The 16,661-nt window shown below is 43.5% G+C and overlaps 1 protein-coding gene across 4 annotated transcripts in view, besides 5 other annotated features; it reads left to right on the forward strand.

Moving 5' to 3' along the window:
- Positions 1-16,661, forward strand: part of ITPR1 (inositol 1,4,5-trisphosphate receptor type 1) — a 354,159-nt gene that overhangs the window by 8,268 nt on the left and 329,230 nt on the right. For all 4 annotated transcript variants that reach the window (NM_001378452.1, NM_001099952.4, NM_001168272.2 and 1 more), the window contains 1 exon segment: positions 14,861-14,968. In NM_001378452.1, coding sequence (NP_001365381.1) covers positions 14,877-14,968 — 92 coding nt within the window. In that variant the 5' untranslated portion in view covers positions 14,861-14,876.
- Positions 1,496-1,585: an enhancer, noted in NCBI's record as "active region_19349". NCBI's record gives its function as "activates an Ori minimal core promoter by ATAC-STARR-seq in GM12878 lymphoblastoid cells {active_cell/tissue: GM12878}" and the evidence as "EXISTENCE:reporter gene assay evidence [ECO:0000049][PMID:35858748]".
- Positions 2,682-2,821: an enhancer, noted in NCBI's record as "active region_19350". NCBI's record gives its function as "activates an Ori minimal core promoter by ATAC-STARR-seq in GM12878 lymphoblastoid cells {active_cell/tissue: GM12878}" and the evidence as "EXISTENCE:reporter gene assay evidence [ECO:0000049][PMID:35858748]".
- Positions 2,832-2,881: an enhancer, noted in NCBI's record as "active region_19351". NCBI's record gives its function as "activates an Ori minimal core promoter by ATAC-STARR-seq in GM12878 lymphoblastoid cells {active_cell/tissue: GM12878}" and the evidence as "EXISTENCE:reporter gene assay evidence [ECO:0000049][PMID:35858748]".
- Positions 3,042-3,131: an enhancer, noted in NCBI's record as "active region_19352". NCBI's record gives its function as "activates an Ori minimal core promoter by ATAC-STARR-seq in GM12878 lymphoblastoid cells {active_cell/tissue: GM12878}" and the evidence as "EXISTENCE:reporter gene assay evidence [ECO:0000049][PMID:35858748]".
- Positions 12,513-13,025: an enhancer, noted in NCBI's record as "OCT4-NANOG hESC enhancer chr3:4555812-4556324 (GRCh37/hg19 assembly coordinates)". NCBI's record gives its function as "activates a minimal SCP1, AML or CMV promoter by ChIP-STARR-seq in primed H9 embryonic stem cells {active_cell/tissue: H9 hESC(primed)}" and the evidence as "EXISTENCE:reporter gene assay evidence [ECO:0000049][PMID:30033119]".

Consider the following 16,661-nt stretch of genomic DNA (forward strand, 5'->3'; position numbering starts at 1 on the left):
CTGACCTTTGTACTTTTCCCCTGCAGCCTTATTTTCAGTGAAGTGGAAAGGTAGGCTAATCACCAACCTGAGGTGAGAGTAAGTAGTTTTCACATGATTCCCTCTCCAACAAACATGGGAACTTTGATGCTTACATTTGGGGGAGCTTTTATTCGCTGTTCACATGAAGGCAGAAAGAGACCAGAAGGCACATGTACCCCTACTTAGAGTTGTGAAGTCACTGCTGTTCACCTGCTGTCATGGGACAATGAGGAACTTATGTTTTATCATACTTTCTGACCTGTCCCATCAGCAGAACTTCTGGATGGCTTGATATAATGCGGCTTATCAGAAGAAGATGAACATAAGAAAAATATCACTAGTCTCCAAGTTTCTTGCTGTTCTTTTGCATTTCAGAAGGAGCTTTGTCTGGGAAATGATTTTCTTTTGCAAGAACAGCTTAAAAGCATCCCAAGCACATATTTCTGAACAGAAAAAGCTGATACGACACCCAGACGACGGACATTCATTTGTTTGCCTTGTCGTGTGTGTGTATGTTGTACCTCATGTGTCCCTCCCCACCCCCGTCTGTCCACCTCGCCAGATCCTTCTATTCCTTAGGGCCCAGCCCAAACGCTTCCTCCTCCGGGAAGTTTTTTATGATACTTGAAAATCTGTCATTTGAAACTCCAGGGCCCTAAAACCTATTTTCCTTTTGGGCCTTTTGTGTTTTTTTAACTCATAAGAATACCTGGCACACAGGAAGTGCTTACACAATAAGTAATTTGTATATATGTTTTTTCTCCCTTTGAAGGCTGCTTGGAAAAACTAATTTTTTGTACCCCTCTCTCCTTTTTTTTTTTTTGAGAAGGAATCTCGCTCTGTCACCAGGCTGGAGTGCAGTGGCCTGATCTCAGCTCACTGCAACCTCCGCCTGCCAGGTTCAAGCGATTCTCCTGCCTCAGCCTCCTGAGTAGCTGGGTCTACAGGCATGTGCCACCATGCCTAGCTAATTTTTATATTTTTAGTAGAGATGGGATTTCACCATGTTGGCCAGGATTGTCTCGATCTCTTGACCTCATGACCTGCCCACCTTGGCCTCCCGAAGTGCTGGGATTACAGGCGTGATCCACTGCGCCTGGCCCCTGTACCCCTCTCCTGATTAAATATTTCTTGAACTGGCATCTTTCTTTGAAAAGCCTTACAGCCAGGCATCGTGGCTCACGCCTGTAATCCTAGCACTTTGGGATGCCAAGGTGGGTGGGTCACCTGAGGTCAGGAGTTTGAGACCAGCCTGGCCAACATGGTGAAACCCCATCTCTACTAAAATTACAAAAAAAATTAGCTGGGCATGATGGTGGGCACCTGTAGTCCCAGCTACTTGGGAGGCTGAGGCAGGAGAATTGCTTGAATTCAGGAGGTGGAGGTTGCAGTGAGCTGAGATCGCACCACTGCACTCCAGCCTGGGGGGCAGAGTGAGACTCCATCTCAATAAAAAGAAAAAAAGAAAAGCCCTTTATTGCAGAGGGTGACGTGAGGACCATGTAGAGATATTAAGCATTTCCTTTTGATAGCTTTTGAGGTGTTGTTCAGTACAAATCTCTGCAGGACATTTGTCTTGGGAAACTGTTGAGTATTCATAAAAGGGAGTGGAAAAATCAGGTAGTGAAACCAAGCTGCTTTCAGGTCATATTGGTATTGCCCTGGTGAGCCACAGGATGGGGACTCCGCAGTACCGAGTGTTGACTGCTTCTTGGGTAAGGGGCAAAACATGGAACATCTGTGCATCTGTTTCCTCTTCTGTAGAATAGGTGTAAAAATAAAAATACCTGCTTCGGGTCATTGCTGCCGAGTTGTCTAAAAACAAATGTTTGCAGAAGGCGTTACAGATAAAAAAACAAAGCAAAACCTATCTATGTCCTAGAGCAGTGGTCTCAATGGGGACAGGGAGAGTGATTTGTGTCCTCCAGGGGACATTTGGTATCGTCTGGAGATATTTTTGGTTGTTCTATCTGGCAGGCAGGGGTGGGGTGCTACTGGCATTTTGTGAACAGATCCTATGGTGCACAGGATAGCCCCCCACTCCCCTGCCCCACCACACACACACGCAACGGAGACCTCTCTGCCCTAGAATGTCAGTAGTGAACCGGTTAAGAAACCCTGTCCTTGAGTGAATTTTTCTGGCTTGGTGAGACTTTTGTCTCTCTCTGAGGATATTGACCTAACTTCATTTGCTGGTTTTTTGAGGTTTGGGCTATGTGGGCAGAGGGGTGTCTCTTCAGGCTGGGACTGACTTCAACTTTTTAACAAAATAAGCACCCTCCCCCTCTCGCCCCCTCCCAAAACCAAAAAACACTGGCCTTGGTATCTGGAGCCCTGTGGTCTATCTTTGGGCACTCATCAGCTGTGTGACCTCCAAGAAATCACTAGGCCTCAGGTTTGTTTTTTCTACCCGTAAATTAAAGAGTTTTAGCTAAATGCCCTCCACTCACCAAATCTGCAGCTCTTTGCCTTGGAAATATTGAGCTTTTGGTTGGCTTCTCTTACTTTGGCCTTGAAGAATAGAAGCCATGAGACCAAATGTCAGTGCGGGCATCTTTTTTTGAGAAATAACTTTGTAGATATTGTACCTGGTTGGGGAAAAGGTTATTTAGCAGACATGTCTGAAAAAGCGAGTAGGTTTATTTTTGTGTGTGTATGTGTGTTGCGGCGGGGGGAATGGAGAATGAGCAACGTTGTATTATACTAGAGAATCACTCCTCTGAACTTCAGATTTACAGCTGCTGTTTCTGGGAGGCCATGAAGGGCCTTGCTTAAAGATGAAACTTCTGAGTTGGTGACTTCCTTTGGGACTGCCTGAAAACGAAAGCATAATACAATTTTCTATGCTCCCAGAGAAGTGCTTTTTGCAAGAGAATAAATTATCTGATGATGGGGACATGCTGCATTTCTGAGGACGATCTGATTAGCAGCTAATGGGACAAGAAGGCAAGGAGGGGGAGCTGTGTGAAAACGTGTGGGGAGGAGGGTGGCATTATGTCCAAGTCAAAAATGTGCTGTTCCTCCTCATTTCACAATAAAGATGATATCGCCAAGCATCTTTGCTCAAAGGAAGTCCAAAATTAACCCTGAGTGCCCAGGAACAGGAGCAGAGACTGTTGTAAAGGGAGCCTTTTTCTCCCTCTTGAAAAAGTCAACCGTAAATGCGTTAGGTTTTCTCTACCTCGTATTTACAGCCATATTACCATATATGTACCTGGGTGAGGGCATCGCAGGGAGACTTGTGCTCACTCTGTAGGGAGTTTCCTTGGCCTCTTGCCAGGAGATTGATCAAATGCCAGCACCTCTTCCTTTTTCTGGGCATACTCCTTTTTTTTTTTTTCCTGTGAAAGACCTCATGGTTTGCCAGGCTCGGCCCATCGTTAACCTGCCCTGCTGGGTGCTGCTTGACCTAAAAAGTGAAACGGTGCCTTTTTGTCTTCGTCCTTATCCTCGGTTCTGAGGGGCCAACTGCCTTATGGCCTCTTGGCTTGCCAGGTGCTTTGAGCAAAAGCCCTGTGTGTAAGCCCCTCTCTTTGCTGCCTAACTTTAAAGGAAGCTTTTTTCCCCTTGTTTTTGAGAAGGAGTCTCATCTGTCGCCCAGGCTGGAGTGCAGTGGCATGATCTCAGCCCACTGCAACCTCCACCTCATAGGTTCATGCGATTCTCCTGCCTTGGCCTCCCAAGTAGCTGGGACTACAAGCACAAGCCACCACGCCTGGCTAATTTTTGTATTCTTAGTAAAGACGGGGTTTCGCCATGTTGGCCAGGATGGTCTCAAACTCCTGACCTCAAGTGATCCACCCACCTTGGCCTCCCAAAGTGTTGGGATGACAGGCATGAGTCACTGTGCCTGGCCTAAAGGAAGCTTTTTGATTTTTATTATTTTTAAAGCAAGCAGCAAGAAAACCAGCACCAAAGGACGTTGGCAAGGGCCTTTTGTTTTTTAGGAGGTGGAGGTAGTGTGGATATGCCAAGAAAGAATGGGGAAGGCTGATGGACTTGTTGTTGGCTCCATTTTTTAGCAGAAGAATGACTGTCCAAATGCAGGTGCTTTGGGGCTAGGTGGCAAAGCTTGACGACTGGAGGATAGACGCAAAGGGTGCTGTGTGAGTGAGATGCTGGCATTCACTCCTCACCTGGCTGTGCTTTGGTGGTTCTGGTTTTATTAGGAATAGTGGGGAAAACATTGTTGGAGTTGGCATTGACATGTTGAGGTCAGTACATCTCATGTGTCCCTTTTGTATATTCACTTGTCATTTGGACTTTGCTGTTTGGCAGAGCTGATCCTCTGCTGATTATAAGCCTAAGAAGTTTAGAAAGAGTAGTTTATGAGAATAGAAAATAGAACAGATTAGAAAGTAGAATTATAACAGCCAATAGGAATGCTTCCTCCGTCCCCCTTTCTCTGTGCTAAGTAAGCATATTTTCTTTTTCACAATTAATTGTCAACATAACTATGAGATAAGCCCTCATTATCCCCATTCTGCAGATGAGGAAATTGAGGGCCAGATAAGGGAGGTAACTTGATTGACTTCCCATTACATTTAGAATAGAAGGCCAACTTTTTACCCTGGCTTGTGAAGTCCTACTGGCTCTATCTTCTCTACCCTGTCTTTAGCCTGTACTTTCTTCCTTTCCCCATTAATGCTGCAGACATTGGGCTGGCTTTCTGTTTCTGGAATTTGCTAAGCTCTTTTCTGCTTTATGGCCTTTGTACTAGCCGTTTACTCTACCTAAAATGCTCTTCCGCCTGATTTTTTTTTGCATGACTGCCTCTATCTTGACTTTCAGGTCTTCGCTTAAACATCTCATCTTGTTTTTTCTGACCAGCCAAAATTGCATTGTCACTTAATCATATCACCAGTTTTAATTTTTTGCATATACTCATCACTATCTGATTTGTCTTGCTTGTTTTATCTGTTTGTTTCCTGTCTGTCTGCCCTCACTAGAATATAGGTATCACGGGAGCAGGGACCTTGTATGTCTTGCTTTGATCTGTATCCCCAGTACCTAGTATAGGGGTGGCATATAGTAGGTATCAATAAATATGTTCGATAAGAAGGAAGATTTAAGTTTCACATGGAACAGTTCACTTTCTAGAGCCCTGGCTGTTCAGTTTTATATTTTGCATTTTCATCCTGTTATATAAAGTTTCCAAACTTATACAGTGAGAGTCCTAAGCACACAGTCATTGCCAGGACAACTCTTAAAGAAAAGTTTATGGCAGCAGTTTTCAAACTTCTGGCTCTCAGGAGCTCTTTTCATGCCTAAAAACAATTCAGGACCCTAAAGAACTGTTGATGTGAGTTACATCTGTCTGTATTTACAATGTTAGAAATTAACACTGAGAAAATGAACACTGAAAAAATATTTTTAAAAACCAATTACACATTAACGTATTGACATATTTTTAATGAACAATAAGAATATTTTCCCAAACAAAAATTTTGAGAAGAGTAGCAATTTTTTTTTTTTTTTTTTGCGAATCACTTTGAGGTCTGGTTTCACAGAACATAGCCGGATTCACAGATCATATATCTGTTTCTGTCTTCAGTCTGTTGTTACATCATGTGCCTTGCAGCCTCTGGAAAACTTCACTGTACATGTGTGAGAGACTGAGTGAAAATGAAAATAATGCCCCAATGTTATTGTGAAATAGTTTTGACCTTGAAGTTTCCCTGACCCTTGGGCCACCAGCTCCTAGAGTACATAGGTAATTTGAAATGTGGGGTTGTGGCATGGAACATTAGAGAGAGGGAGAAATTGAAGGCTTAAGTGACAGGGTGCAATTGACCATCTCTAAGTCTGGGTATTGTATGAGATCTTTCTGTTCAGAAAAAAATGCATGGGGATACTTTTCAGTTGTTTTTGTGAAACAAAATTGCTTCCTAAAGTTCCTCCTGAAATGCAAAGAAACGCTGAGAATGTGGAAGCTAGTGGTACTTGTCCTACGTTCATCTTTTTCTTATGAGCAAGATTATACCAAGCAGTCCAGAAGTTCTGCAGTGGGATGGGTCATTAAAAAATTATAAAGCATAGGTTCCTCTCTGTGTCTGAGAATAGCAGCTTCAAGTGTAACTTCCTTTATAACTGTTAGTCTCCAACACTTACTTTGTTCTTTTTGTAGCTTTTGGCCTCAGATGAAGTTGTGTCCTACAATAGAAATTAGATTGATGCTTATTGCTCTTAGGTTCTGTCATAACTGGTGTTTAAGGAACCAGGATAGAAGCTTTTAATAATAGATGAGCTATATTCTGTGCTAGCCAGCTTCACTGTTTAAGGAGGTTAAATGATTACAAATTCAGGCTTCTGGGGAGTGTTTTGCGTGTGTCTTGGGTCAGTGATATATAAGATTTTCACTGTTAAGGTAATTGTGTGGTAAAATACAGAGGAGCTTGGTCATCAGGAAATTAATGGTGCACTGTGGGGACGAGGCGAGGGGTTGCAGGCAGGCAGGGGATCCAAAGTACCTGACTCTCATGCTCAGAAGGGTTTCATTTAAGGTCAGACTGTCAGTGGGACTACCCTGCCACCCGATTACTGAAAGTCAGACTGTTCAGCCCCAGTGGCCAGGTGGCTTCATCTTAATTAAACGTAGGAGGCTTGCCTTTGTGTCTTGGTAAAAACTGGCAGGTCTGTGGTTTTGGGGTCCCTTAACTAGTATAAAGTCAATTTCTCATTTCCTCCCAAGCCTGTCCACCCTTGAAGATTAAGTGATCCCTTAGGTAACTTATTGGTTAATGAAGTGTTCTACTTTAGTCTCAGTTTCAGGAGTTGTTAACTTTTAAATTCGGAATTCTGTGTAGGCGAAAATCAAGGTTTTTTTTTTTTTTTTTTTTTAAATGAATGTAATGCAATTAGTTAAGTGTGTGCAGGAGAACTAATAGATGGAAAAATTTCAATAAGTGAGTTTTCTGCCACAGTCAAATGAGTGAGTTTTCTATCACACTAAAAGCTTTTAGAAAAAAAAAAATTCCAAACCTATCTTGAGCTGCTGCTTAAAATTAAATGAACATATTTCTTTTTTAGTGAGGTTGTGCTTTGGCCTGTTTTAACACCAGAGTGGAAGAGGTTCTAAATACTGAATTACTATCCCTTTGAAGAGGTTTCCACCACCCCCACTGCCAGCAGGGGACCTAGATTGATGTTAGAAGGCGGGGGAGTTGAGTTGAGGTCTGGCCAGCTTTGGTATTGTGAGTTTGGGTACTGAAAAACAACAGTACTTTGGAGATGCTGTCCAAGTATCAGCCACCTCGTGGGCTTACAGAGGATTTAAACATTTCTGGGATCTTTGTTTCTCCAGATGTATTTCCTAGAGTATTGACCAGGTAAGCAACATTCATCAAGTAGAGGAATCACAGGACAGAGGTGAGTGAAGACTTTGAAGGAACAAAAACGAATGTTTTCATTTCAGACTCATTCAGACATACAGAAAGTGAGCATAAAGGGCCAAGTATTGTGTTGACCACTTTATGTGGATTATTTGGTTTACTCCTCACAATGACCCTGAGAAATATGAAAGGTTGCCCCCTTTTTTACAGATAAGAGAGCTGAGGTTCAGAGAAGTTATGGAAGTTGCTTAAGGACACACAGCTGGTAATTTATGAGGCTGGAATTCAGACTCACATATTCTGAGTCTGTTTCCAAGTGTACACTCTTGTCAGTACTCCAAGCCATTTTGGACATGTGGAGGGGATGGTCAATGGGGATAAAAGTTAGAGTATCTTTCCAGGGATAAAAGTTAGATATTTTGTTTCTTGCTTCCAAATTTCTCATAGAAATCTATTGAAAAGGGCCAAGTAGGTTTCTGTTCTTGATCTAACACTGTAAATTTGGCTTTAATTTGTTTTGGAGAGCAGTCATCTAAAAAACAAACCAGGTGTGGTGGCTCATGCCTGTAATTCCAGCACTTTGAGAGGCTGAAGCAGGAGGATTACTTGAGGCCAGAGTTCAAGACCAACCTGGGCACCATAGTGAGACCTTGTCTCTACAAAAATAAGAATGAAAAAACTTAGCCAGACATGGTGGTACGCACCGGTAGTTCTAGCTACTCAGGAGGCTGAGGTGGGAGGATCACTTGAGCCTGGGAGGTCAAGGCTGCAGTGAGCTATGATTGCACCACTACCTTCCAGCCTGGGTGACAGAGTGAGACCATAACTCTAAAAAACAAAACCAGTATAAACTCTTCTAGGCAGCAGATACAATAGCACTAAAGTGACATTGAACCCATATTTGACTGCTTGCTCTATCCCAGGTACTACCAGGTACTAGGATGCAACAGGAAAGAAGACAACTGAGGTTCTTGCCCTCATGAGCTTGCAGTCTAGTGGAGAAGACAAACAAACAAGTGAATAAGCAATGTTAGGACAGTGGTAGTGGACCCAGGTTGCTGTATAGAAGAGTATGTTGGAAACGTATAACCCAGATCTGGGAGGTCGGAGAGGGCTTCCCAGAGGTGGAGACATCAAACTGGGGCTGTGAAGGTGAGTGGGAGTTAGCCACAAGTGGTGGTGGGAGAGGGAGGGAGATGTCTCAGGCTGAGAGACAGCATGTGCAAAGGCCCAGGGAACAGAGCATGGTGGGGGCCCTGGAAAAAAAATCATTATGGCTGGAGTATGGAGAGCAGGGCTCAAGGTAGGCAGGGCTAGATCATGAAGAGCTCCAAAGAGATGTTGGAAGGTTTTAAGCAGGGAAATGATATGGTCTGATTTATGTTTCTAAAATATCATGCTGGATGTTGTATGCCGAATAGATTGAGGAGGAAAGACAGATTCAGAGAAACGAGTAGGAAGGCCTTAGGGAGTCCAGTTGAGAAATGATACTGGCTGAGACTCAGGTTAGCAGGGGCAAGGGAACTAGAAGAATCAAGAGATATAGTAAAGCTTAAAGTCAGCAAAAATTGATGCTGGATTAGACTTTTTCATTCATTTATTCAACAGGTATTTACTGAATACCTACTATGTGCTAGGCATTGGTGTTTGGAATACAGTTGTGTATAAAACACATCACACACAGATCTCTAGAATACAGCATGTGCCTTGTACGGTGTCAGACAGGAATTGCACAAGTAAATGTGAACTTGTAACTGAGATGAAGGCTGGGAAGTAGAGATCCATGGTGTAGAGTTTATAAGAGTGGAATTTAACTTCATCTGAGGGGATGGGGAAGATTTTCTGGTGGAAATGGTAGTTGAATTCAGAGCTGGAGGGTGACTTGGCTATAATTAGAGCAAGGGGTGGGGTAGGGACGAGAGTGTTGTGGGCTTGAGAAAACAGCACAGGCAAGGGCCCTGTGGCAGGGAACATGAGAGAGGGAGGACTGGAGGAGCCACCAGGCTTTGCTGGTGGTCACTGAGAAATGGCTATGAAGGAGGAACAGGTTGGGCAGGCAGGTAAATTCTTTTTGGTACATTGAGATGCCGTGAGCCGCTAGGAGCAAAACTCTAGTAGCTGTGGGACATGAGAGACAGATTTGGGAATCCTCTTCACGTAACAGTGACTGGAGCCAGCAGAGTGGACGAGAAGACCAGGAAAGGTATAGAGAAGGCAGAGAGCAATACAGACGCTGAAGAGCAGCTCTGGCTTCTCTTCCCCAAGGAGATCTTTCTGCATTTATTTTTTTCTTTATTTGCACTTTTCTTGGGAATAGAATCAAATCTTCCCTGCCCCCCCTTTTTTTTTACGCACAGCTCAGGGAGCAATTTCAATAGAGGGCAAAGGGAAGCTCAGCCAGAGGGTGGTGTCAGGCTCAACAAAGCTGCCACAGCCTCCCTCTGCAAGAGTGTCTCCCAGAGGCAGTGATCTACCTTTCTTTGCCTTGGCCAAAGCCACCCTGGAAGAATCCTGTTTTAACAGGTGCTTGCACCCATCAGAATGGTGGTGGGTGGCGGTCTGATAGTACTATTATATATTGGTGGCATGCCTACTTCACGCCAGATGCTTTGCTGAGTGTTTATAAATACCGTCTTGCTGAACCTTATGTCAGCTTGCTGAGGTAGGTGCTCTTATTCTCCCCATTTTACAGCTGGGAAAAGTGAGGCTTAGGGAAGTTCTGGAACTTGCCTGAAGTTCTTCAGTGAGTAAGTGGCAGAGCTGGGGTTTGAACCTGGGCACTTTGACTCTGGAGCCTCAGCTCCTGCCTGCCATGGGCTGAGAGGTGCTTTTGAGGTCATTCTGCGTCAGGAATTGCGGGGAGGATGGTGATGCTTTGTGAAAAGAAGCAAAGCCTTAAGGAGAAATAATCTAGATAGCATTCACATATGCAGAGGTCTTAGATGCTTCAGAGGGCAGATGAATAGCAAAAGTTCTGGGAGGCGGCTATCCTTTGTGGGGCTAAGGGAGGGGACAGGAGTAATTGTTTTATTTTTTCACAGGCAGGGTCTTGCTCTGTTGCCCAGGCTGGAATGCAGTGGTATGATCACAGCTCACTGCAGCCTGGAGCTCCCAGGCTCAAGTGATCCTCCCAAGTAGCTGGGGTTACAGATGTGTACCACCATGCCCTGATAATGTGTTTTTATTTTTATTTTTTGTAGAAATGGGGTCTGGCTGGTCTCAAACTCCTTGCTTCAAGCCATCCTCCCACCTTGGCTGTTTAAGATGTGATGACAGGCATGAGCCACCGTGCCTGGTTTAGGAGTAATTGTCTGAACAAGGCTGTTTGAACAAAGAATAGGCTCTATTGCCCAGTGAGACCATCCATAGGCAGCGCGATGGGGAGATTTCATTATTGGGTGGGAGGTGGAATTACATGCTTTACAGGGTTCCTTCCAACTTTTATTCCATGATTCTGTGTTTTTTGAAAGGTTAGAATGCTCTGTGGCTGGCAGTTGAGTGTAATTCGCTATTGTTCACCTTTTTTCATCAGGGGAATTAGGAAGGATAAATTATCTTCCCTGAAGTAAAATCTGTCATCATGGGTCATATAGGAGTTCATTTGTTATGATACACATCTGATTTTTTAAACAGGGGATCCTTTACTGAGTTTAAATTTTGATGCCCTGGAATCTTTCAGAATTCCACTTATCTCTCGTGGAAGAAAAATAAAAATAACTAGCATAGATTAATTCAAGTATGTCAGCCACTGTACCAGGTGCTTTTCAAGCATTATTTCACCCATTGCTCACCACAGCCTCTTGAAGTTAAATTATCCCCATTTAACAGAGGAGGAAATGAAAGCAGAGAGGTTGTGGTGGGCTCCTAATAACAAGCTAGATGATAATAATAATAATAAGAGCTTAGGGGCAGAGAGCCAGGGTGGAGTGCGGGAGCTGAGCGCCTAAGCCTGCCCTCGTGTATGTCAGGCATGGCTTGTCAGCAGAGCCGAGCCCTCGGTGTCTGTAAGTGTTTGAAGTTCCGCAGCTCCGTGGCAGGTTGGCGCCAGCTCTGTTTTCTCTGAGGTGGTCCTTGTCATGGTGTGAGTGACATAGGAGCCCTGAGTGCAGCTGCTAGAAGTTCACAGGCACAAATGGTCCACGATCAGATAAAGAGGCGGGCTCTCCCACCCAGCTCTGAACAACAGGAAGTCTTCCAGAAGATTGCTCCTAGGCCCATCACTTCTGGGGCGGACTTTCCACCTCCACCCCTCCACACCACAGAGGCCTGTTCTGTTGACTTTCCCGGCCTTTGTTTTTCCTTCCAGGACATCACTGATAATTGCACTAAAACCTATCCTCCTCCCCCCATCTCCTTCCTCCACTTCACTAAGGCGAGGCCGGAGGAGATCTCCAGAGGTTTCTAGCCAGACCAGCAAGCTTTCTGCCCAGTCCTTTGTGAGGGGAATTATCACATGAGACCCCTGGGGAAGGATCTGTCCTCCCCTACTTTTTGGTTGTTTTTAATTGGGACCCCTGGCAGATTGCCCAGAGGATCATTAGCTGTGGTGGGTGGACTGGCCTGTGATTTCAGGGGGAGATGTAAAATGTAGCTAAAGGTTACTTATTCACTTATCTCGGCCACTTAATAAGTATCTTGGTTAGAAGATGCTTAATTTTTTTTCTGACTTATGGAAGTATTACAGAGCCATGGTAGAAAAATTAGAAAACAGAATTGTGCATAAGAAGAAACTCAGTTCTCCATAATCATCCGGAGTATAAGAACATTTAACATTTTAACCTGTGTTCCCAGGATCACTGTTGATAAACACCTCCACTGAAGAATCAGATAGACCTAGGTTGGGTGCGGTGGCTTTTGGCTGTCATCCCATTACTTTGGGAGGCTGAGGCAGGCAGATCACTTGAGGCCAGGAGTTCAAGACCCGCCTGTCCAACATGGCAAAACCCCATCTCTACAAAAAATACAAACGTTTAGCCAGGCATGGCGGTGGGTGCCTGTAATCCCAGCTACTCAGGAGGCTGAGGCGGGAGAATCGCTTGAACCTGGGAGGTGGAGGTTGCAGTGAGCTGAGATTGTGCCACTGCACTCCAGCTTGGGCAACAGAGCAAGACTCTGTCTAAAAAAAAAAAAAAAGTCTGATAGACCTGGGTTGTAACAACCCTGGTCCTCCTGCTTACTAATTTTATGTGATGTGGGGATCTTACCTCTCTGTATTACACCTCAGTGTCTTCAACAACAAAATGGCAATAATGGTAGTTCCTACCTCCTGCTGTGGTCATGAGGATTCACTAAGAGAACATTTGTAAAGCACTCAGCACAATGGTGGGCATGAGAAATCCTTGATAAATGCCAGCTATTATTATCAGAAAAGAAAATAATGCAGAACCGTGCTGTAGGAATGCAATGTCCAGACATCTATTGCAATGATCAGCTGCAAGCAACATGGGGTACATCATGCTTTGTCACTCGAGGACACTGAATTGTCTGCTTCTTCCCATTAAGGGCCTGGAATCTTTCAGTAAGGTATCCAGGTGGCGGTGATGGTTCACAAAACAGCAGGCATTTTCTGGCCTAGTCTCCACTAGGGCTGAATGCTTATCTGAAGGGTGATCCTGAAAGGAGAGCCTTAGTCACACTGGACAAGGCCCTAGTCCTCTTGCGGAGCACATACCTGCTCTTCTGCATTTGGAAATTCCCTGGTGTCCTTTCGGGATGCCAGGGTGTACAGACATAAATTTGGTCTGGTTCAAAATTCAAACAAATTGTCTTCTAATAATTGGTCTTAGAAGTATGCTGACTTCCTGACCCTTTAAGATAAAGCTTTATAATATAAGCGCAGAAGGGAAATATTAATCCCCCTTGATGTTTTCCATTTGTGCCGCCTTTCTGGATGCTGTTTAAAACATTGGTTTGCCTTTAAATATAAAATATGTAGTTACGAAGAATTAAACAATGACTGACATGATTCTAGAGTGGTACTTGGCAAACCGTCCTTCTGTACATTATTTGTGTATCTTCCCTCAAGGTCTAGAGATGCTGGCTCTTTTGTTTGAGAGTTTATTCTGTGTTCTCAGTTGCTGTCTCCCTCTATAAATAAGTTCATGTTTAATGAAATGCTCTTTATCTCTCCTGCAATGTCTGGGTTGTTGGAGGGGAGGGAAGGGGATGACAAATCAGCTTTTCCCTGCAGCTTCTCATAAGCAGTGAACTGAGGTTCTTTAACATAAGTTTGCTTTCAGTAACTGACATTCCTGCTAAGGTGGTAGGTTGCTTCCTGAGGTGTCATGCTGATCATTGCTGCATAATTCTTCCTGAAAGAAAACTTGGCACCCAGGAAGCAATTGAAGGAGACACAATACCGTTCCACACTGTTACAACTCTTGTAACTGTGTGGGGTAAATGGCTTCTGGAAGGGGAAGTCGAGTAAATTGATGGGGAAAGGGGTGTAAAGGGGTCTGGGTTTGGAGGAGGGGTTTTGGGAAAACCTGGGTTGCCCTGGGCATCTCCACAGCAGATGCCTGAGGAAACACTGGGCTATTAGCTGCAGTCCACACCAGCACACAGTCTTCCCACATAACTGAGTTTGTTTTTTAATTGTCAATTTAGCTTTTTACAATTGGTTCCCACTCCTCAATATTTATGGCCCTGATGAAAGCTGTTTCTAGGAGTCACATCAATATTTTTGTTGATATTTATGTGTGTGTATGTGTGTTTAATGATTTCTGAGCTATGTAGAGATTTCCTGAGACTTAAGAGCTTTTTCTAAGACTGCCTCTAACTAGCTGCGTGTTCCTGGGCAGGGAACCTTATTATTCTTACCCAAATACTGAAGGATCTGGGCCAGGTACTGTCTAAAGGGTTTTCATCCTCTGGAAGTGTTTCTTGGTGAAGGATGAGAAGGCAAGACATTTAAGTAGCATTTGGGTGACATGCGTACAGTTGTGGAATTCTGAAAAGGCCTAAAAGGCTGCTGGAAATTTGTGGTATTTATTGGCAGGTTTCTTTTTATTAATGTCATTTTGTTGCTTTGGTACCTTAGCCCAGGCACTGTGGCCTTGCCAGAAGCAGGTTTTTATACCAGGTGTTTCCTTCTGACTTAACATTCCCTGAAGCAAATTGAATATGTTAATGTTTCATAAGTCAGACTTTCCAGGTAACTCCCTAGTCACTGCCACGTTCTTGGCTGAGTTCCCTGCAGGCTTTCTATTCACTGCAGTTTTTATTATCAAGGGTCCTCAACTTGTAGAATCTGATTCAGGCATGGTTTTGTTAGAAACAAATGTTACTGTGGTTGGAATATCCTGAAATTAGATAATATACGGGGAAAAAGTGTTGTTGCATATGTCCTTACTTGGCTCATTGAATCGCCTGCCTGTCAAACTGTTATTTAAATTTGACTTTTAAGTAAGGCGCTTTGGAAAATTGAGCTAAGCCAACTCTTAGTGACTTTTTTCCCCTTCTGAACATTTCTTTTCTTCTAACAATGCTGCATATTTTACTTTGTCTAGGATTTTCAAGAAAGACATGTCTGACAAAATGTCTAGCTTCCTACATATTGGAGACATTTGTTCTCTGTACGCGGAGGGATCGACAAATGGATTTATTAGCACCTTGGGGTAAGAGCATGCAATTTCTTGTGTGGCACGGTTTGTTTAAGACATCATAACATCAGCTTAAAACTGTGATTTTTCTAACATAAGAACGTCACCGTTTTACTTGGCTTTCTAAGTGCGGTTGAAATCACAAACACCAAATCTCATGTTAGCCAAGTTTAACCTCTTATACAAAAACACAATTTTCTGTATATTTCTGAAAGAGCAAAACCTCATTATTTAGGACACTATTCTGAGTTTATTAAAATTTGCTTTTCCTTTCTATATAAAAGGGAGAGTGCCTTTATTCCACTATGGAATACAGTTTAAATGGAATAAAGTGTAAAGATGAATATTTGCAGAGCCCAAAGAAGTGCTTTTTAGTTTTGTAAAGGCTCTTCTTTTCAGATAGTGACTCCTTTATAATATAAGCAAAGACCAAACCTCCTGGGCTGCCTATCTCTTTTCTTTGAAGCAGACATTTCCTATTTTACATTGCTGTATGCATTTGAAAATTATAAATTGCATAAAGTTCTATAAATCAGATTTTTGCTCTTTTGTGCTTTTTTCCCAATCTTTATACAACTTTTAAGGGTATAAATATATTTCATAATGTACTCATTTGATTATCTTCTCCCGTCTCCTCCTACGCCTATTGTCTAGAAGAGGAAATGAGAGGTGAAATAGTCCCAAAGGCAGACAGAGGCAGAATGGAGAATCAAGATGGTTAACTCCAAAATAGTTACGAATGGTCTATATTGTCTTTGTGTAGAAAGGAGTAGTGAGGCCCCGGGGCGGCATTGTTGAATTTGGCAAGAGCTGGACTCAAATAAATTGGGGGAAGGAAGACCAGCAGCTTCTCCAAGAACCTCATTTTTACAGCAGCCAGACCTTCCTTTCAATTATAGCTATTATTTAAAGCATGCTTGTTTCCTGGTATTTGTGCAGAATGAGTATTCCTAGGCTCTCATGCAGGTTACTCCACACTCAGGGAGCAAATTATTATAGATACAGAATTATAGCTCAATTAGACTTGTGCTCCCACTGTAGAGAGATTTTGTTTCAAATGTCATCCAGTGAAAAAGAAGTCATCCATGGCTGCCTGATCACCAGATCCAGTGACTTTCTACATTTGACCTCTCTCCATTATGGACCTACCCTTAACAATTTATCTTCTGTGGCTTTTGGCAAAGAGGCCTCCTTCTGCCCTGCCTCTGACTCTCCCTCCTTTCTTCATGGTTGGCTCCTTCCTGTTTTCATCGTCTATGGTTGACTCTTTTACCCTCTTCTTCTTTTCAGTAATGACAGCAACAGTAATAAATGAAAAGCACTAAATGAGCCCAGTGGGTATTTGCTGTGTGCTAGGCACTATGCTAAATACTGTGCCTACATCTTCCTTAATCCTCACACAACTGTCTATGGTGAACATTGTCATCATTGCTGTTTGTGGAGGCAAAACTTTTGAGCTTCAGAGAGGCAAAGTCACTTGCCCAAGATTTCACAGCTCAGAAAATTCCAGACTCCAAGGCTAGGGCTGCCAGCAGTTGCTCTCTGCAGGCCAGCTTCTCTCTTTCCAGCTTCCTTGTCTGCCCGCAGCTCTCCCTCCTCCTTGACTGTGCACAGCCCCTATCTGGATGCCTGGTTAAACCTCAACCCACTCTATTCCCATGTTTCCCCTGGGGGTCTTGATTTCCCAGTCACCCAGGTGCCTCCTGAG

The sequence above is a fragment of the Homo sapiens genome, chromosome 3, assembly GCF_000001405.40.
Source record: "Homo sapiens chromosome 3, GRCh38.p14 Primary Assembly".
NCBI classification, from domain to species: Eukaryota; Metazoa; Chordata; class Mammalia; order Primates; family Hominidae; genus Homo; species Homo sapiens.